Here is a 21,917-nt window from a genome sequence, read left to right as displayed (position 1 = left end):
TAAGAATATTAATTCTTCCAGTCCAGGAACATGAGATGTCTTTCCATTTGTCTGTGTCTGCTTTAATTTATTTCAATATTATTTTATGCATTTCAGGGTACAAGTTATTTGCCTCCTTGGCTATACTTATTCCTAAGTATTTTATCTTTAATGCTGTTGTGAATGAAATTGTTTTCTTAATTTCCTTTTCAGACAGTTCCTTGTTAGTGTACAGAAGTGCAACTAATTTTTATATGTTGATTTTGTATCCTGCAACTTTACTAAATATGTTTATGGCATAGGTTGTGGTGATGATTTCATAAGTGTATACTTCTCTCCAAGCTCATCAAGCTGTACACATTAAACATGCACAGATTTTATATGTTCATACCTCTATAAAGTGGCTTAAAAATGAGTACATGAGTCAATATACACTAGTACTTTCCAGCAAGGGATAGTTGTTGTTATTGGTGAAGATTATTATTCCTTTTGATCTTTGTGTGGGTGGTTCTTTCTTTCAGTTTTCAGCTTTCAGAGATGCCTTCTTTGGCTATTCTGTCTGTACTTGTCCCATACTGGAATTTCACACTATTTTCTTCCTAACACTATCTTCATCTGAGATTTTCTTACTTCTCTTAATTTTTATTGCTTCTTTCCATTTTGAATACAAACTCCAGGAGAGCAGTGGCACCATGTTGTTGCCCCCTGTGTTCCCAGTACCTGAGACAGTCTCTAATACGAACTAGGTGCTTAATAAATATTTGCTGAGCAATGTGTGAAGTCACAGGCTCCAACTAACACTTAAAGGCTGACATTCTTAGCTCTGAACTCCACTGAGCTCACTATGTTTGGCTGTAACTCCATGTGTCCATCTACTTTCTAGACGCTTCCACGTGAATGTTCCCATGTCTCAAATTGTCCACAAGCAAACCTATAGCTATGCTCCTTCTCCAGCATTTTCTTCCTCAGTCAACAGCATCTACATGAGAGGGACCTTTCAGCTAATTGGGAAAACTGGCAGCCATTTTTCTCTCAGGGCCACGAAATGATGGCATATATCTGAATATATACATATCTACCATGTATGTGCCAGTCAGGACTACACGTTCTCATATATTATCACATTTAATATTAACAAATATGTATTATTAATACTATCTTCTTTTCACAGATAAGGAACCCGAGGCTCAGAGGGGTCACACAGGACTAAGCACTGGAGTCTGATTTGAGTGCACTTCAGGCTGATTCCAAATATACCTAAATACAACTTCTCTTCCAATAAGAGTGATACAATTAGATGTCTAGTATCTTGGGAATAAAAGTTTTTGAAGGAATGACTTGTAAATTATTGGGCAAGTTATTTATAGGGAAGAGTGAATGAGGACTTAATGAGGGGAATTTATTTCATATAGTTGGAATATGAGCAAAATAATTTGGGGAATAGAAAGTCTTCTAGAATCCTTTTCACATGATTGATCTGATACTAATCAGCTACTGATCATTTTGAATTATAATATTATGAACGTCTATACTTTATTACCATACAGCTATGCACATGTTTAAGACCATTAAGGAAAGTGACAGGAAATGACCCTAAAGCTAATTTCCCAACATCTGAGAGAACGTATGGCTTTCTTTTCTTTTGGCAGACATAAAGAATAGAACCTGCATATAAAACGGCCAGTCCAGTATTGAAGTGGTGATAATGTTAATTCATTTCCTTCTGTAAGAATCAGATAGTAAAACTAATTGAATATTCACATGTGCTGCCACCTATATGAATTAATCTATGTCTGTGAATTAGTTTACCCATCCTACACTCGGTTGTATTGCATGAGAATGCATTCCAAAAAAATATGTTAAGGTGAATAAATCTAAAAGCTCATCATTTGGGAGACTTAGACCTTCAAGTTAACCCAGAAAAAAGTAAGTCATGGAAAGTCTGCTGGTCATGCAAATTATCTGAGTGAGACAAAGAGAAGTTTGGAGTCCCTTTCACTTTCATTTTGGAGGGAGAGATTTTGTTAATTTCTTTGTCTATCAGACAGGAAGTGATTAAATCATTATTAACTAAAAACATTTAGTGATGTCTCCACACAGGGAATCAGTTTTCTTTTGAATTTCCCAACTGCATTGCTCACATGCTCTTAAAGCATATTTACAACCTTTGCTTAAAAGGATTTGTAACTGTCTTTACTTGGCAGATAGCCATGTACAAGTCAAAGGAAGGAAAAATTCTTTAAGGATTATGAACTTCCTGGCTGCAAAAAAGGCTCAACAGCTGTCAGTGGATCCTCTAGTTACTCATAAACATTCCCTTGGAAAAACACTACCCTTCCAACGGCTATTTAGGAGTCTTAGGCCTCTCTCATAAGATAAACCACAGGTAATCACATAATATGTAGGATGTATTAGTTTTAATTTGTTTATAAAAACAAAGTGAAATACTATATCCTCTTGACAATTACACAGTCTAGGAAAGAACACATACTCAATTACATGCCAAAGGGGAAACTGAATAATGAAATACCAATAACAAGCATACAGTCCTTTTAAAATAATAAAAAAATCATTTCTTAAGAGAAAGAAGAAATTCTTGCCCAGCACTTGCCATTAACTAGCTGTGACAGGTGAATATTTAACCTTCACAGGCTTCAGTTTCCTCTGTCAAGTACATCTGATGTGCTTCTATAGCCTCCTTATGGTTCATATGCACCATGTCAAAGTTCTCTTCATTTTAACTCTCTTTGGTCCAAATATGATGTAATCGTTTTTAATCCATATGTGTTTTTCCATTATTTCAAATTTCTATCTCTAATATCTCTTATTGTGCCTTGATTACTAAAGAACTCTATTCATCTTATACAATGTATAACTTTTTTTTCCCAACAAGCTTTCTACAGCAAATTCCTATTTGGTAACTGCTTCTTATAGAATCCTTCATTCCTACTGAGAAGAATCTGGGACTTTAAAAACCTGGTATGCTCAAGAGAGCAAAAAGAGCAAATGGTGTCAATGTGTTTTACAGAATGAAGAAAAAGTATCAGATTTAACTTCTAACATTTTGCTACTATTGAAATGTTTTGCTAACAAATAGAAATATGAAAAGAGAATATCTGTAAGAGGGCAAGAACAATGAAATGAAAGCACAGGCAAAAGAATATTTGAGAGACTGGTCAATTTTAACTTCGGCTGGTGAATAACTTCTACTGCAGAGCTCCAACTTACAATTAGATTTCGGTTCCAAAACTGTGACTTCTATAATAGCTTGCATCAACACCAAATACAAACATATGTTGCCTTAAATGTCTTATTTTAAGTAATGAAATATGGACATTTAAAATTCAACGATGTCTAGAAGTGCTGTATCTCAGTTCAAGCCAAGTGGTTATCAGCTTTGTGCCTTCATCTTCACATTCTCCTAATCTGTTTCATTTATGATGACTACAGGCGTAGATTATTTGTTGTTGTATTTAAAAATATTACCATCCAGTGCTTCATCTGTAAACATCATTATTACTGCTGACATCTTTCTCTGGGTTTGAAATGAGCCAAAAGATTTATTTGCTCCATCAACACACTTTAAACATGCTACCAGCCAATAATGCGGCTGAGTTAGAGGCTGTGTGTGTGTGTGTGTGTGTGTGTGTGTGTGTGTGTGTGTGTGTCTGTATTTAGGCATGTTTACTGGAAAAGTAAATAATAATTTCAAATTTAAACTACAAAAATATGATCATATTTTCTCTCATATTTAATTTGAAGAACAAAACAACTTTCTGAAAAAGTGAGAGGTATATCCAAAGAGTCTCAGTTCTAAATCCTTTTCGAGATTTATGCTTTAGCTTTGCTAGCCTGCAAGTGTCTTTAAGATTTAGTCATTGCTTCAATCATTCTACCATGTGCAGAGTACTTGGAAGAGAGGGATGCATAAAACAAGGTCAGCCATATTGAAGAAGGTTAGAGACTTTTGGCGGAACCCAAAGTAAGAAAAAACAATAATGGCACATAAGGCAAATGGAAGAGAGGGCAGAGGCCAGAATCTAAGCATTTTTAAAGAAGAATTCAGTACTTCTTTAAGTGAAAAACTGTAACCATATCTTTTGTTTGTCAAATATTTAAGAGTTAAAAAAACTTTTTTGCTTTTGTGTTCTTATTTCTACCTCCGTCATGAAATCAATGGTATAGAACAGTGTGGAGGAAGAGAAGAGGGGATATTCTAGGCAGAGGAAAGCAAGAACAAAAACAAAAAACCAAGAAAACGTCATCCCTGGGGAACTGCAGGCAGTTTGTGTGTGCAGAAGCACAGCGTTCCCACATCACACTTGGATTAGTGGGAGGTGAGCACAGAGAGGCAGATGGGGGGAAGTGCCTCATGTGCTATGGAGTTTACATTTCATTATATAGGCCTGAGTTTTCCAAACTGGAATGTCAGGGGAGCCAGAAAACTACAATTTAAGCACTTTGCATCTTCCTGGAGTATCAATTTGTGAAAGTGGGTGTGGGGAAACCACAATATATCTACTAAGAGGTAAAACGCAAATTTCAAAAGAAAATGAAGCACAAAACTGGCATGAAATTGTTCTTTAGGCCCTACACCCAGACTTGGTGGGCTAAGACCCCTCACGTTCCTCATTTTTCCTCTATGAAAAGGCATTGAAGAGCATTGGTAGAAGCAATAAAAAAAAAATCACTGAAGAATTTTCAGCAGAGGAGTGACACGATCATTCATAGTAAGAAAGAGATGGAGGTGGCAGAGACTAAGATCAGGAAGACGTGAGGGGACTACTGCTTCAGAGGAATTGGGGATAGGGCCTGGCTGTGAAGATGCACCAGGCTCAACTGAGAACATTTTGTGGATGTTGGAGGTGAGAAGTAGGAAGGAATCAGGGCTGCTGTCAGCTTTCTGGTCTGTGCCACTTTACCTAGAAAGCAAGTTTGTTTTAAGGATTAGAGGTGATCTCTAAAGCACGTAGTTGAGAGCCCAGCAACACCGTAAATGCTCAGAACACAGTAACTCTTAGAATTGTGCAGCTGATGAGGCTGTTAAACAGGACAGCATAGAAGAACAAGCAGATTTGGGGCAGAGCATGCTTAATTTAGGAGGCATTTCCTGATTTCATTTAAAATGTCCTTCAACTTTGAAAATTCAAATCTCTTAAAACTTATCTGTTTTTTTTCAACCTTATGCTTATGGACCTATATTTGAATATACAGTTGACATGGAAGTAGGTATACATTACATACTAACTATAATGTTAAGCCCATTTACTATGTTGATGAAACTATATTATTTCCATAAACTGGATATTTATTCCAAGCACCTTTTATTTATTTATATAGAGTTGGGGGTCTTGCTTTGTCACCCAGGCTGGAGCACAGTGGTGTGATCAGAGCTCACTACAGCCTCTAACTCCTGGGATCAATAATCCTCCCACCTCAGTCTCTTGACTAGGTGGGACCACAGATGCATGCCACCATGCCCAGTTAATTATTTTTTTTGTAGATACGGGGTCTCACTACATAGGCCAGACTGGTCTCAAACTCCTGGCCTCAAGCCATGCTCCTTTTAAAATGTGCTTTAAATAAAGGTTATATAATAATAAAGGAAATACGCCCACTTAATACTAATGATACTACTCTCATATATTGCTTGTAAGAATAATTTAATACATCTTTTCTTGGAAAGCAATTTTTTAATAAATATTTATCTGAAGTATTATAAACTATTCTTGTGCATTGATACAATAATTTTACTTTGGGAAAATTTTCTCAGGGAGATAACTCTGAAATGCAGACAAAGACTTATGCATAAAGCAGTTAATTATAGCTCTTAATGATTTAAATAAAATCTGGAAAAATTGCTGAAACCCCCAAAAATGGCAAAATTGCACTCATACAGTGTACATAGAAGAGGAAAACACACACAAAATATAAACTGTGGTTATCTTAGGTGGTACAATTTCCATCATATTTAAAAATTGTATTTTGGATCTGAAATGCATAGATTGGATTTACTGGTTCTCTTTTATTTATATTCAGTTACACTGAACTGGATTATTTAATAGACAGTGAATATTGGTAAATGCAATATGTAACCAGAAACCAGAGTATTATCAATAGCTTATGCCCTTGAAGGAGAAGGAGAACTGTAATCCTAATATAAAACACATCATCTTTAGGATTCCACTCATTCATTTCAGAGACAATGTGATATAGTGAAGAAAAAATTCAAACTAGGATTATTTTCTGTATTTTTAAATTAACAAATATGTATTATATGTAAATAAAGTAATTTATTTTCTAGTTTTTACAGACTGCATCTTCCATTTCAAATTGGTAAATGTATATGAGCTAACTTGCTCTGAATGCTAAAGCTAAAGTCAGAGATAATACGGAGAGGTGTGCTACTTGATACCAGTTGAGATATATGGTTACTACACATAGACCAGTGTGAGGCCATGTGAGTGTGTGGGCTTTCTCTGTAACAACTAAAAAAAAATGTGGGTTGATATGTTTAAACTGTTAGAATACTCGTAAAAGTTTTTAAGGATTTGACCATGAATTTGTCTCACTTTGCTTATATGAGTTACATTCTAGAAATAGATGCAGACCAATCACTCCACAGCCAACACTGGTTGTTCTGTGGAGCACACAGGTGGAATATGATTCATTCAAGAGACAGATCTAGAACTGGGGCCACACTCCTAGTCTGTTTCCTTCCACTCTATTTTATTGCCTCTGAAAAGAATATTAGAATCTTTAATATGAATTTTGCTTTATATTGTAAAAGACAGCTCTCCTTTTTCTGCCACTATGAAAACAGTTTTTGAAAGCAGAATAGAAGTCACTGGAAAATATGATTTGATATGCAAATATGCACCTTAAACACAACCTTTCACAGACACCTTTCAGTAATGCAAGGAAATCCTCTGAATGTGTATCATAAGTATCTTCAAACAAAAATTGAATGTCGGCATTTTGATAAAAGTCATATATGTAGTATAAGGAATCTTTATTTTATATCTAGATCCCTGGTAAAATAAATGTGCCCATGCTTACCTGGTTTAATAACCAACTTGGAAGGTTCAATTTACTTTTCATTGTTTTCTTAGGAAATAAGGTTTAGTGTTGTCACAATCAGTGAGGCAAAAGACAGATTTGCTTCTTATTTGTTTTATGAAATTACATGAACAAATTAATAGCAATACTAATCTTGTTTCGTTCAGTAAGAAATCGGAAAGAATTATAATACTGTGGTAACTGTTGCCAACTTTGTGGCATTTTTCTTTCTAGTCACAATGCAAGACTTACAAGAAAATAAAAAGGAATCTCAATTTAGGGAAATCATGCAATTTAATAAACTTAAGTATTCAATTTAAGAAATTCTGCTTGGAATGTTAGGATTATACAACATGTGATTATGAAGTATCTGTCTCAACTAAAGTTCAATAAGTATAAAAGCAGGACAACCACACAATGTATTGTCTAGGATACTTTCGAAAGTAAAAAAAAAAAAAGCTGCTATTCATAATGAGCCATACATCAAGACTGTTTAGGGCAAACCAGGATGTATAGGTACCCTAACAGACCAGAACCCCCGTCATTCTTTAACTACATAAATTAGCATGTCTATCTACCAGGGTTCACCAGCTTACGCATTTGTGGTAAAACACGCATATGTTCCTTGGTAAAATAGAAACAATAAAAATCCCAATTTTCTTCCTTTACAAACTGGCTCAGGTATACACTTAAATCCATTTCCTCTAATTACTAGACAAATTGATATCCTATGAAAAAAGACTTTCTTACTTTATTTCAAATTGTTATTCTCCATCAGCCTTCTTCTCCTCTCCCCCAATTTAGCACTTTGTACTTGTTTTGGGGACTTATAAAATAAGAATAGTAGCAGCAATGTTTATTCATTCATCACACAAATACTACTGAGGACTCACTGTGTGCCAGGGCATGTGCTGGGCCCTCCTGGTGATGTGCAGATAATTACAAGTGGTCACTTCTATTATGAAAGACTATCCATTTAGAAGAATAGACAAGTACATAAATGACTATAGCCTGGGGCATAATCTAAACGACAGAAAATATTTACAGAATGCGGTGTGGGAGTTCAGTGGTGGGAAAGATTGCGGTACATGGCAGGAGGACATCATGGAATGCTTCTGATGGAGTGATGCTTGACTCTTGTCTTTGAATGATAGCAGAGATTGTCAGAAAAGCATTCCAGAGGCACAGCAGCCCATGAGCAAAGGCACAAAGAAAGGAAAGCACACAGCTTCCTCTGAGTATTGTTGTGCTGTGGAGTTTGACCCCAAGGTGCTGGAAAGGTGAGGTGGTGAGAGGGTTCCAAGGACCCTCAATGCCAGGCAGAGGATTTCAGAATTAATTCAAGGAACAGAGTCATACAAGATGATAAACAAAGGAGTAAACCAATGAGAGTCACACTTGAGAAGGTTTGATCTGGCAGTGGTGAATAGGACAGCCTGCAAAGACTAGGGACTGGCTACAAGACACCAAAAACTAGCCTAAAGGTAGAACATTGTTGGAAACAAAGGGAAGGCAGCAGTGATAAGGAGAAACATGCCACAGAGCATCTGGAAATACTAGCTCCGATATATGATCACTTATTGGTTTGGCCTACATGACTAAGATTCTCATCTGAAATATTTGAGAAAATGGTGGTGACATTAATAGGCTCCTCAGTGAACCAACTCCAGACTGACAGAATACCATCTTATCTTTAATGCTCAGGTAATAAAAAATTTTCACACTTCATCCAGATCAGTTTTCAATTCAGTAAATTTCCCAAAGGAACGGCACTTATGAAGGTGATTTTTTTAATGGATTATTTTACTGCCCCAGTAGTAAGTGATATAAAATTATTTTAGCTATTTCATTAATGATTCTAAAATGTGACTAACAAGCGGAAGAAAAGGGACTAAGTGGAAGACATTCAGTGAGTTAAACAAATCTAAATATGCTACTCTTTTATACTCTATACACTATTTTCTCGTTTATCTACTTCAACATACAGATAACATATGGTCTCTTTATCAATTATGTTTCATACCCATCATGTTTCTTCCATCACTGGCTTTCAAACTCTTTGATAGGTTTGCCTCTCTCAAGATCAGAGATGGACAGAGCCATCTCTGAATGGACAGAGACAGCCCCCGCTGGCTAGTGGGGGAAGCGCTTATTTCCCTGTCTGTTGCAGTGCTTCTCACATATGCTGATTGAGCCCTTGTTCAACAAGTAATAAAGGGGGTACAAGTGTTTGTTAGAGAACATGCCAAATTTATACCAAATATGAGATTCTATGATTTTATAAGGTGGCCAGTAAAGATAAATTTTCATGGAGACCATTAGCTTTCTACTACATTACTTATGTCTCCCTATTTTTCACCCTCTTTGCCCTTTCCTTACAAGTGTTTGAGACAAAAATGGCATTAGGATTAAAACTCCTGACTCCAAGAACAAATACCTGCTGGAAAGCAAGAGGGCATTTGTTATAACTGGACAGTGGTCCCAAGTTCTTTTCCACTTCCCTTTGTATGGAAAAGAGGAAAGGGACTGAGTGGCTCAGAAGTTGGTCCATGCAGACACCAATGGGAACCCTCATTTATTCCTTCATGAAATATGCGTTGAGCACCCACTGTGAAACAGACCATGTGATACAATGATAAGCAAGGCAGATAAAGCTGCTGCCCTCAGAGCCTTAAGATCCATATAGCTCTATACATGCATCATGCTAGGGACTTGTTTTTTTTTCAACACTGGCTTCACAAATCATGAAGTTGCTCAAAAAATATGATAGAATGTAGTTAATAATTATCCTCTTGTTATTTTTTGAATGAAAATTTCCCTGATTCATGATTCTCTTTTCTTTATGTAAGAGAGAGATTATATACTTAAAGTCTCACAAATATTCAGCACATATTTGCAGGGATCTAGCTCCAGGAAATACATTTTGCAAAATGACACTTCTCAGCACAGCACAAGGATTTACTTATGCCTTGCATAAGGACTGCCAAGAGGAAGCTAATTAATATGCTAAGTGCTCACTCCTATTTATAGACACTGGTCCAAGTTTGGTTTTCGGTTAACATGTACATAGAACTCTGACATATATTTATCCTCTCTTTTCCACTTTTAATACCTCTTCAAGCAAAGTTCTAAATTTTTTTGGCTTACGTTTTTATGATATTGGACGCATAAAGGGTACTTATTTCAGCCTTTTGTATATGTTTCTTTGCCTGATCATTGAGGGAGAAGTAAAAATGATTTCAAGTGATATTTCTAAGTGATAAAAATCTGCAGGCACAGAACTGTTGCTTGTCTTGACTAACATGATGTTTTATACTATCTAAATTTTTCGTGTATTGGTTTCTGACCCCTCTATCAGCATTAGCATTGACTTTTGAGAGTTAACAGCAAATGCTGTAGATAATTCAACATCTTCCTTGCACTCAGGCAGTTGCAAACATATCTTTATTAGGAGTTGGGCAAAAAGATCTCTATGTTTCTTAAAACCTTTCCCTTTAAATTATTTCTAGTAGAGGTTGGATTTGAGATCTGCCTCTACTTGCTAAGGGCTATTTATGATTTATTTCAACCTTTAGCTGGCTCTAGGGGGAAAAATGAATAAAGTTGAAACTAAAAGGAGGAGAAGCTTAATCCTTAGTGAAATTCCAGTGGCATGGAACACCCTGACTCTTACGATGGGTGCATTGTTAAATTTGTATATGTTTATTTTTTCTCAAAAATAAAATTAAACTCATTTATCATTTTTAATTAGAGAACAAGTGCCATCATTTTTTAAAGAGAACAAGTTTCAAGCTGTGAGTCTTTTAATGTAGACTGGTCTCTGAGACTTTTCTGAAGCACAATGTGGAAATTTTAAACCCAGTCAAATATTTTTCTTAGGAAATTGGTGATAGGTCATGGTGAGATATGGGTGTCATTAAATTTTCATAGAGGTTCCTAACACACCAGAGTCACCATAACATGGACACTGAGTATAATATCTCCAAAGAAGCATTTGCTTGTCTGCCGTGGCTCTGAAGGGACCTGTTACAGTCCATCAGTGAAATAATATGTGTGTTAAAAGTCCCTAAATATGTATTTACAAGATAGTCAGATCTGTTTTGGTCTATTGGGTTAATAATCCATGCACTAAGTCTGTATATAAGTACTCACGAGATACACAGATCAGCTTTGGTTCACTGAGTTAATAGTAAGTAGGTCTTTAAAAAGGCACCTAAATAGCCGCATAGTTTGTATTTTAGCAAGTTCAGAAATGCAGTCTATATACTAGAAGCTATTTCTTTTAAAGTGTGGATGCATTGCTCTTGCTCTGGTGGATGCCAAAAGGTGTGCTTCACTCTAACCTGTAATATTTTGCCATTAAAATGTCAGAAGAAAATTGCCATAGCACAAACTATATTGAAGCTCTGAGGCACAGCCCTCCAGGCTGGGGTGGATGCTGTCCTAGATTATGTCATACATACTCCACCCGCTATCACCGCCCAGGTCCAATACCCCACTCCCTCTCAGCTGACTTTGCTTCCTTCCTGTCAGTCTCAGACCAGCAGCTGGAGTAATCCTGTTATGGCTTTCCTATGTTCCAGCAACTTCCCATCTCAGAGTCAAAGCAACTTCCTATATCATGGTCAAAGCCAAAGGCTCCACAAAACACACCCTCCTTTCTCTGAATTCACCCCTTCCACTCTCTCACTGGTCTCTTTGCTACTCCTTGTACACCCCAGCATGCTTCTGCTTCAGGTCCTTTGCCCCTGCCCTTCCTTCTTTCTGAAAATCTCCTTTCACATGGCTAGATCTCTTATATTCTTTAGTTCTCTTATGAGAGAAGTCTTGCATTACCACTCTGTATAAGACAGCAACATCCTGTCCAACACCACTCTTATTATTTTCCATTAGTACTTCTCACCATTGAAAAGAATATGTCTTTACTTTTATGTTTATTGTTGACCTCCCTCTCCTAGAAGCTCCTTCCACTGGGGCAGGAGCTTCCTAATCCCATGCATAGATAACTGCCTGGTACATTTTAAGTCCTCATTAAATATTTATGGTACAAATGAATGAAAGCAGATGAAAAAGGAGTCTTCTTTCTACTTCCTTGATTGCCTGGTTGTGCTCATGTTTAGGTTGAAGAGGAATGCATATCTCTTTCTGAGCTGAAGTCTTCTTGGCCATTAAACCTCACTTTCCTGTGATATTCTCTCAGTGGCACAAAACTGGTACTTCCTTAAGGTGCTCATCCATCCCGCTCCTAGAGCTATAGGGTTATAAGGAAGCTCCTAGAGGAGCTAGGGTCATCTCAGCTGGTCACAGAAACACCAGATCAGTCTGCTTCTAGGTGTAACAGTAAAAGTGCAACACATAGACAGAATTAGCATTTCTAAATCTCTTCACTGAATGAGCCTAATGGTGTCCACCACAGGCTCCAATGATGGCAGTGGACTGACTAGATTTTGCAGTTTGATGCAGCCACAAGGGATGGCATGTGCCACTCTATGTGTGTGTCACATAATGATAACAGACTGAGGAGTACTGGGCAGAACCATTATTCTCTCTTGAATCTGGTAAATTTCTCTGGAGGTATTCTCCCATGCCTCCACTCCCACCTTTAACCATGCATGTTGTTCTCAAATGCATCCTTTCTAATGATTGAAAACTGTCATAGCAACTCCTTCCTTATTTGAATTTCACAGGAACATTCTTTATTTCAATCACTCAGAAAGGAGCCTTTGGCAACGGAATCACAGCTGACAGCAAATTAATGACTATGATGCTGTGATTAGTTGAGATTACAGGCTACAGAGAGCTTGTCTGAGAATTCACCACTGACATCATCCTGATGCTGGCTTCTGCTGGGGATTAATATTGGTCAAAAAAGAGGTTGTGGTTCAGTTACAGTAAGCTCCATAGAAATGTAAGGAAATCTGTCTGTATTGTAATATTTCAATGACATGCTGATTCATTTAAAGGGCTTTTACTGTTAACTTGCTTAGCCTAAACAATCTTCCCCTATGCCCTCCCCGAGCACACTGACTTATTTTAATAAAGCTTTAAGGCATCCAAATAAAAAGTTGAAGTGATCTACATAATTCCAGTCCCCAAACTGAAAGTATTCATTAACCAAAAGGAAAACATAAGAATCTTGAATTATTTGGATAAGTCATTCAATTTTATAATTTATTTTACATGAATAGACAAAGCAATGGATATTGTAATGCATGTCAGTGCTTGAGTAGATTTAGAAAATAAAACTTTTCAATCAACTTAATAAAGAGGAGGTAAAAATTTAACATGAACAACACAAGAATGACAAAAACCATCTACTCAGTTACCAGTTGTCATTTCACATCCTTCTAAATTTTGGCTGCAAAGAAATAATGATTTCTGTAATCCCCAGGAATGACTTTTGTGGGGAGAAGATTTCAAACAAACGTCCATTTGCTTTAGATGAGCTTCCTTATTTGATTTCAGATCCTCCTAAGGGAAGAGATTTCAGGATTTCCTGGTTGTAAAGTGGAAGAGAACACTTTGCTGAACTTGTATGACATCACCTGAAGCATTAAAAGGGCAGGTGACCATGGGTTCTCTGCCTGTTTACCAAAGCTTCTTTACTTCCTCAATCTATTTTATTTTTAAATGTCAGAGTAGTCTGAAACCTTTCAAAGATATTCAGGCTGCAGAAGCAGAGGAAATATTAGGATACATTCTTTAACTTTTGTGAGAGCTTTTAAATAATCAATGGATGGACTTTTCGAATTGTTATATATCACAGTACAGATATTCTGACATTAAACCATGTGAAGAATAAATATAGTTTAACAACAAAGGGCATGAGGCCATCTCTATTTCTAGGAAGTCTGTGAAATGGCTCTTTAGAGTACAGACCAGAGGCACAAAGAGAGTATTGCATTTCCAAAGAATACAATATAATAAAATTTAGTTTATCAATGAAAATTAGAATATTATACAACAAATGAAAATAGTAAACACAATCTTTGTTTTAAATATATTTTTCAAACTCCACTTGGAAATCCACATATATTATAGAACAGATTTTAAAAATGTAGCTGTTGCAATATTATTTATTAAAAAGCAACAAAATGAGAGCAAATTATATTTAAGCTTATACTATAAAAATATTTTCCAATATACTTAAAACACGAGAGCCACATAGCTAAAGCAAATAGTATTTGAAAGATCTTACACTGGATATGTAATAGACAAGACATTTCTCACTGTAATAAATTAATTTCTTTGTTATACAAAACCCCTCAACCGTAACTTCATGAAGAAATGTGAAGTGGTATGAAAATGACCTTACCTCATATTCAAAGTCTTCTGTTCTGTCTGCATCAGCAGGCAAGCTGGAAATATACTCATTGTCCTCATAAAATTCATGCTCCATTGGATGTAGAGAATGGCAGCTATGGGGAATGTAGCAATATGATAGGAATAGATTAAATGGGTTGTTTTCCAGATTAAAACTGATTTTAGAATTTCACTTTAGTTTGCTCTGCTTTGGAATAAGATCTGTAGTGATCTAGTCTTTAAACAAACTACAGCTGAGGAAAAGCAATAGCTTTTCTTTCTCCCTCTACGTGAAGTCCATCAATTTGCAATTTCTGAGAGAATGCTAGGAATAAGGGCCTATGGTCAGAGTTGTATTCTGTGGAAAGACTGATGTGAAATCTCTGACAGTCCGTGGTGCTTTATTGATACTTTCTGGCCTGCTTCCATTCCACTGAATGTGACAAGCTCCATACGTGGGTGTGTGGCATTTGAGATTGCAGTCTACTCAAAGAGGGGTATTTTGTCATAAAGTACTACCAATTTCATAATCCACAGCTGCAAACTATTTTTTGAAAACCATTTTCAAAAGCACTTATTTTTTCAGACTCTAAAATGTGCTCACATTGTCCCCTCCTCTCTTTCTTAAGATCCCCCTTTCTCACTCTCCCTCATAATGCACATTTTCCCCTCTTTGATCAAGGACATATACACAAATATTAAAGAACATTCATGGCGATCAATCAGTGGAAACTCCTATAAGCCACAAGGTTTCAAAATACCTTTAGAAAATTCTCAGTGACAGAGAGAGCAGATTACATTAAGGAAATGAGAGGATATGGCTTTTATGTATTTCAACTTTTAGGAAATTTTTAAATAGTTTGTAAACATGTTATTCGATTTAGTATGTTCTGATATAAAGACTACACATCATACCATATGAAGACTAAGCATAGTTTAACAGCAAAGAGCATAAGGCCTTTTCTATTTCTAAAAGACACTGAAAAAGCCTAAATACAATTGACAAGTTGGTTGCAGATGAGACCTCTAACTCCTGCCAGTGTGGATCTTTTTGAAAAATTGGAGATAGCAGTATCAATTAGTTCCCTTCTCCCTTGTTGAAAGGCAAGAGACCCATCCTCATGCCCTCATACTATAGTCAGCGTAAATATTCTACCAGCCTCTCCTCACTACTATCTATGGCTGTCAGCTCCACACAGGTCTAACTAGTGTAGGCCAAAATGGTAAAAGTAATACAGGCAGCACCTTGCCTTGTGTCTACCAGATAAATCTCCTTGCTTATAGCTGGACTGGGTCCGCATAGCCCTTTTGGGCTCTTGGAATATCGAAGCCTGCTGCTTTGGACATCTGATGTGTTTCCCTTGTCTTTCGGATAGTAAGAAGGGAGCCCTGCTGTGAGGAACACTTTATTCATTCGACGTTTATTTAGTGGCTGCCAGATGCAAGGCCAAGTGCTGGAAATATGTTGGTTTACAAAATCCAATTCTGCCCTATTAATTGGGGAAAGCAGCAAAGTGGGAATTTTAATACAGTGCAATAATTAAGGGAAAAATACAGGAGCCTTGGGAGCACATGGTAGGGGTGGACCCACTGCAGCCCTAGGAAGTTTTCTAGAGGAGGTTGTCTCTAAGCTAAGGTCTGCAGGACCTAGGAAGAGCAGCAAGATGCACTGGCTAAGGGGGTAGGCATTGGGGTCAGACCTCTTAGGCCTAGAAGCCTGGCCCTGTCACTTTTTTGCTATGTGATCTTGGCCATGTTACTTAATATCTGTTCCCTCATCTTAGACATAGAATGTTGATAATATAATGTACTCCCTCCTAAGATTATTGTGAGAACTAAATGAGTCAATAAATGCAAAACGTTTGGAATAATACTGAAAGCATGTTAAGTTAGCTAATACAAGCTAGCTATTATTATTCATTCAAGGAAGTATTTGTTGGATGGCTACTATGTTTTAGGCTGTATTAATGAATATTATATATTTGTTTCCTTGCTTTTTGTTCAACTCCCCTTGTAGAATATAAACTCTAGAAGGCAGTGACTTTATTTTTGTTCATAGTTTTATGCCAAGCATCTAGTTGCAAGCCCTGACACATCCAATTTGTGTCTGATACAAAGGGCTATTTAAAATAAAGAGATACCCAAGACAAACAGATCCCCTGCCTTCCTGGAACTCGAAGTCTCAAGAAGTGTTTTCAAAACTTGGCTGCACATTAGGATTGCCTAGGGAGACTTTTGAAAATTTCTGATGCCTAAGCCTTACTCTAAGAATTCTCATTTAATTGGCCTAAGGAGTGATTCAGGTACTGATACAGCTTCTGAAAGTTCCCAGGTGATTCTATTGTACATCTGTGACCCACTGAAACGGGCTTATGGGAGCCAGCCATCAAAGGGCAGGAAAGTGGCATGACTCAGATCTTTGTTTTATGAAGTAGAGAGCGGATTGGAGTAGGTGATGAAAATGCAGGCTAAGGAGACTATTGCTCTTACAAACTCTCAATGTTTGAATATTTGCTCGAAAGCTCACAGAACACAATGAATTGGGCAAGCATACTTTTAAAACTGTTCAAGTAGGATTATTTGAATAAAATCTCTCTGACTTCCTTTAAATTAGGCAAAAATCAGGAGGAAGTATTCCTTGAATAGATCTTTATTTGATAGCACTATACTTACTCTCTGACAGCCAAGATCCTTTGTTTATATCTCAATATATTGGGTAAGTGCTTTCGTCAGAGAATTGCACTTTAATTAAATCAATTTCCTAGCTTCTCTTTAAAGAAGAGAAATGCAAGGAAGAGAGAGAGGTGGCCCACAGAGGAGAATGTGGTGCCAAGATGCCACTTCCACATGAGTCTTAATAAGGTTTTTGGCAGCTTTGGTGAGAAAAGTGATTTCCCTGACCAGTGTTCATGAGTAGCATGAGGCTTTTGACAGCTAGTAATATGAAGATGAACTAATCAGAGCCAGAATTTTTCACAGCAGCTAGCAAGTATGATTACCCAGGTGGAGCAACCATGTGGGTCAGGGAGAGTAGCTAGCAGGGACCACTGAGAACTAATTGCACATATCAAAACAGGGGAGACATTTTCCAAACGGAGCTGGGAAGCCTGTCTCCATAACTGTCAACCTGCTAGTGGAACTGCTTCTTTTCAACATCTGCTTTACGTGACAAATGGAAACAAACAGGGCTTTGGAAGAAATGATAGAAAAATACCTGTCTGAGAGCAGGAATGGACAGATGTCTGGCACTGGAGGGGTAGGTGGACGAAGCTTGGCCAGAGCCATGATGTGTTCGAAGGTGATGTCCGTCTGAGTGCTGGCATTCATAAGCTGCACTTCTGAAGCCATCCCATAGGCTGGTCTACTAAGAGGTGTTCGCCTTAACACCTGCACCACAATGGGCTCCTTGGCATTGCGAAAAGCTTCCACTGCCTCTTCATGAGTGGCCTTTGAAAGATCCTTCCCATTGACCTACAAACATATAAGGACATTGTTCATCTCAGAGGAAAGATCAGAGAGGCTGTCATGATAGATTAATAAAAGACAGAGAGAAAGGTTTCAACCAGCCCTGATATGAATTTTGTAATGGAATATTTAATCAGATATTAATATTTACTGAAGTCTTTACCAACATGATGAAGTACCTGAGATTACAACAACAATTACTTCTGTATCTTTATAAAGTATCTGGAGTTGGTTAACTAGTAAAACAGCAGAACTATTAGCAAAGATTTAAAAATTTAAGTAACACATCTGCTTCAGAAAAGGGTCACCGAAGTCTTCAGATAGTTAGAAATGTTAAGTATATCCTACTTTTTCATGATCTATCAATCTCTCGGTGAGATTTTCAATATTTAATCAAGGTCTTACTTGCCTAAAATTTAATTTTTTAAGATATTGTCAAATTTCCTCCATATTCATAATGTTTTAATCCAAGACCATGTTATTGCCCATGTGCATTTTATCCTAAATCCTCACTGTTTGAAGTGTGGTCTGTGAACTAGCAGCATCAGCATCACATGAAAGATTATTAGAAATACAGAATCCCTGGCACCACCCTGGACCCACTGAATCAGAATTGGCATACTCACAAGATTCCGGCTTTATATTTATATTCACTGAAAGAAGCAATGCTCTAAAATTCCTCTGAATGGGTATATTATGTCCCTCTAGATACTCACTTGTTTTAATTTCTACCAATTCATGACTCTCCAAGGTAGCCCTGGACATTACAGAGAAAGAGGTGAAGTCTCCCTTTGTCCTCAGTCATTGCTTTTCAACAGGGGCAGAAACCATTGGCATTTGGGAGAGAAAAATTATTCTTTTTGTGGGACTCTCCTATGCCAGCTTACCAAGGGCCAGGAATGTTTCCCAACCTCTGTGGTTCCCAAAACACCTACACATTTTCCCTAGCAAACTTGTGGGAGGCAAAACAGACCACTCTCAAATATTTGTCAATTTATTCCCCTAAAATGAGTCCTGATAACACAGCCTTTTAGCGGAAGTTGTGTTTTAATAAAGGACTCTAGAATCCTGAAAGAGCTTTATGACTCTCGCCCCAGATGAATCGATAATGCTGGTTTTTGCAGATGTGAAGAGCTATCTGGTGGCACAATACTGTGCCCAATATCCCTGAAACTATACCATCTCTAGACAGCTAACTAAGCCACCCGCCTGTTGGTGAGGCACTGATAACTGTTACGCACCAGCAAACCCTTAGAGATCCCTGGGTGCCTAAAAAAGAAGCAAAAGAAGTCACTGAGTTGCAGCTGTAGAGAAACTGCTGACATTCGAATGGGCACATTCTCTCTCCCTGAGTAGACAAGGAATATGTGTGTGCTCAGAGCAAGTGTGGGGCGTTTTGGGGTAAATGATACAATGCCAGGTAGAAATCATCATGTCATGTAGAGGCAGGCTTAATGACCTGGAGGAGCTAATTTACTCAGTGGACCCTGAAAGAGTTAATGTGCCTTCAAAAAATGAGCAATTAAGCTTCTTCACCAGCAAAATATGTCCCAATTCAGTTCTTGCTCTTGAATCACTAGTAAGAAACCCCAGGTGGAGATCTGACTGGGTGTTTACCAGTGTGAACACATTCACTAATCTATGCATTCTCTGTCTGATTCTTTTTTTCATGAACTAAACTTGAAAAATTATCACTGAGTTTTCATTGATACACCTTGGAATATCTGACTTGGGGCACATGAGGATATGTGGACATGAGACACCTATGGACATGATCACACTCATTCCTTTAGCTTCTGCTGTATGACAGGTGCTCAGGCCGGGGCCACTACTGTCTCCCCTGAGGACATGTAGACAGCAGATGATATAAGAAATCCCAGAACGAAAAAGCACAACATAAAATCTAGCCCCTTTCATTGAATAATATCATCCCATATGTTTCATATTGTGGTCAGTATTTATACATTCCAGATTGTGGAAGATAATCAAGTGGTAGGTAAGACTGCTCTGTGAGAATTGATGCAGTAGGTAAAAATTGCTCTTTTGTCCTCAGCCTTCCTGCTTCAGGATGTACCCTGAGTTTAGTGAAGATCTGTTCCTGCAGGAACCCACACCCTTCCCTCTCTGAAAAGAAATCTCAGTCACACAGTCTGTTATCAACTATTTATTTATTTATTTTTATTTTTTATTTTTTGAGATGGAGTCTTGCTCTGTTGCCCAGGCTGGAGTACAGTGGCGTGATCTCAGCTCACCATAACCTCCGCCTCCCAGGTTCAATGATTCTCCTGCCTCAGCCACCCAAGTAGCTGGGGTAACAGGCGCATGCCACCATGCCAGGCTAACTTTTGTATTTTTAGTAGAGACGGGGTTTCACTATGTTGGCCAGGATGGTCTCTAACTCCTAACCTCGTGATCTACCCGCCTCAGCCTCCCAAAGTGCTGGGATTGCAGGCATGAGCCACCACTCCTGGCCTTATCAACTATTCAATATATCTACTGGAACTGTGTCAACATGTTATCTTTTCTTATAAGCCTTGCATCAAGAGGAATCCCTAATAGTGGTAGAGTGAAATAAGACCATTTTTTTGAGGCAACTTTATCCAATATCTGAAGGTAAAGTGAAAAACTCGTGACCACGGTTTCTTCCAGTTGTACATTAAATTCTACTAATGCACAAAGTGTTTCAATAGGTAGTAGACAGATAAATGCCATTCACCTATTTTTTCCCCAAGACAAGGCAAGGCTCATTTTTCCTCAGCCTTACATGTTAATCTAGTCCTGGTGTTCTGAATGTTTATTTGCTTCAGTGATCTTCGAAGCAACAGAGATTTTTAAAAAGTGAGATTCCTACTGATAATGATTATTTATCTGTGTTACTATAAGCTAAGTAGGATTGTTTTTGCAAAATCCAGAAGAGTATAGTTTTTTCTGAGGAAATATAAAAATCATTGAAAAGTATTTGAGGCTGTGAAATCATTATTGTAATGCTTAGTATGTGCAAACAATATTAGCGTTCATATGTCAAGATCAATGGCTATTTATTATATGACCTATACATTCATTTATTTATTATCATGAAATTTATATGCAAATTTCATTCTTTTCTCTAAGAACAATCAAATACAATCTTAAAAAAAGGACAGTCAGTGTAATCTCAAGATCTTACTTGCCTATTGGGGAATGCTCTTTTCTTCCAGTTATCATGCAGCTGACCTCTATTTTCATAAGCTATTTAATATCTCTCAAAGTAAAGAAGTCTATGACCTTTAAATGCTCTACTGCTACACATGATCCCTTAGAAAATGCAAGCATTGATGATCCTAAACACATTTTTTTTTCACTTCACTTGAAGTTCATCAACATACTGTTAGCCCATCAAAAGGTCACCATTTTATATATTATGCCTTTCCCAAGAAAAGAAAAGAAGAGCTTAATTGGGATTTTCTGGCAATTGCTCTGCTCAGTTATCATCAGTTGCAGCTAGAGAGAAGAATTATATGGGAAGAATATCTACAGTTAACCCTCTAGGAGAAGTTTGTTAACAACAGCAAAACTTCCTTTTTTTTCAAGTGATTAGTTTTTAAACCAATAACAGATATTTGGTGTTTCATATTGCCATATCCTTACTTATTATTCTATTTCTTTACCACTATATTCTGTCCCTCCATCCCACCTTCCCTTTTTTCCTCTTCCCTCTTACTCCTTTGTCTCAATCTTAAATTTAGTCTTGTACGGATGACATATAGTTTTTAATTGTTTTGTGAGATGAGACTAAAGGTGAAGAAACTATCCATTAAAGGAGTCCCATTTAAAATAGGTAGTTAAGGGTAGATACCCAATATTTCTGGGTGTCCAGTAAAAGGTGGGAAGATCTTTTGCTAGAGGAATACAGATGAGTTGATTTTCAGGAGAAAATATGAATATGGTTAGGAGCAAAACTGAGGGAAGAGGGTGCAAGGTAACTTGATTACTGAAAAAAATACCCATGTGTTATGGGGTTTGAGTTTGCATGCAGAAGGATTTTAAGAAAGAGCAATTTGATTTAAGCATACCATAGGAAAAGAGCCTTTTTCCAAAACGGTTGTTATATCGAATGATTGAGAGGATAGGGT

The 21,917-nt window shown here is 37.3% G+C and overlaps 1 protein-coding gene across 2 annotated transcripts in view; it reads right to left on the bottom strand.

Annotated features, from left to right (window-relative positions):
- The window catches only part of PDZRN4 (PDZ domain containing ring finger 4), a 386,426-nt gene that overhangs the window by 50,479 nt on the left and 314,030 nt on the right, over positions 1 to 21,917 (bottom strand). For both annotated transcript variants that reach the window (NM_001164595.2, NM_013377.4), the window contains 2 exons: positions 17,555 to 17,811; positions 14,354 to 14,456 (listed from right to left, as the gene is read on the bottom strand). In NM_001164595.2, the coding sequence (NP_001158067.1) occupies positions 14,354 to 14,456; positions 17,555 to 17,811 (360 nt within the window). The remainder of the gene's footprint in view (positions 1 to 14,353; positions 14,457 to 17,554; positions 17,812 to 21,917) is intronic.

This window comes from Homo sapiens, chromosome 12 (genome assembly GCF_000001405.40).
Source record: "Homo sapiens chromosome 12, GRCh38.p14 Primary Assembly".
In the NCBI taxonomy this organism is placed as follows: Eukaryota; Metazoa; Chordata; class Mammalia; order Primates; family Hominidae; genus Homo; species Homo sapiens.
This window is presented reverse-complemented; position numbering and strand designations above follow the sequence as displayed.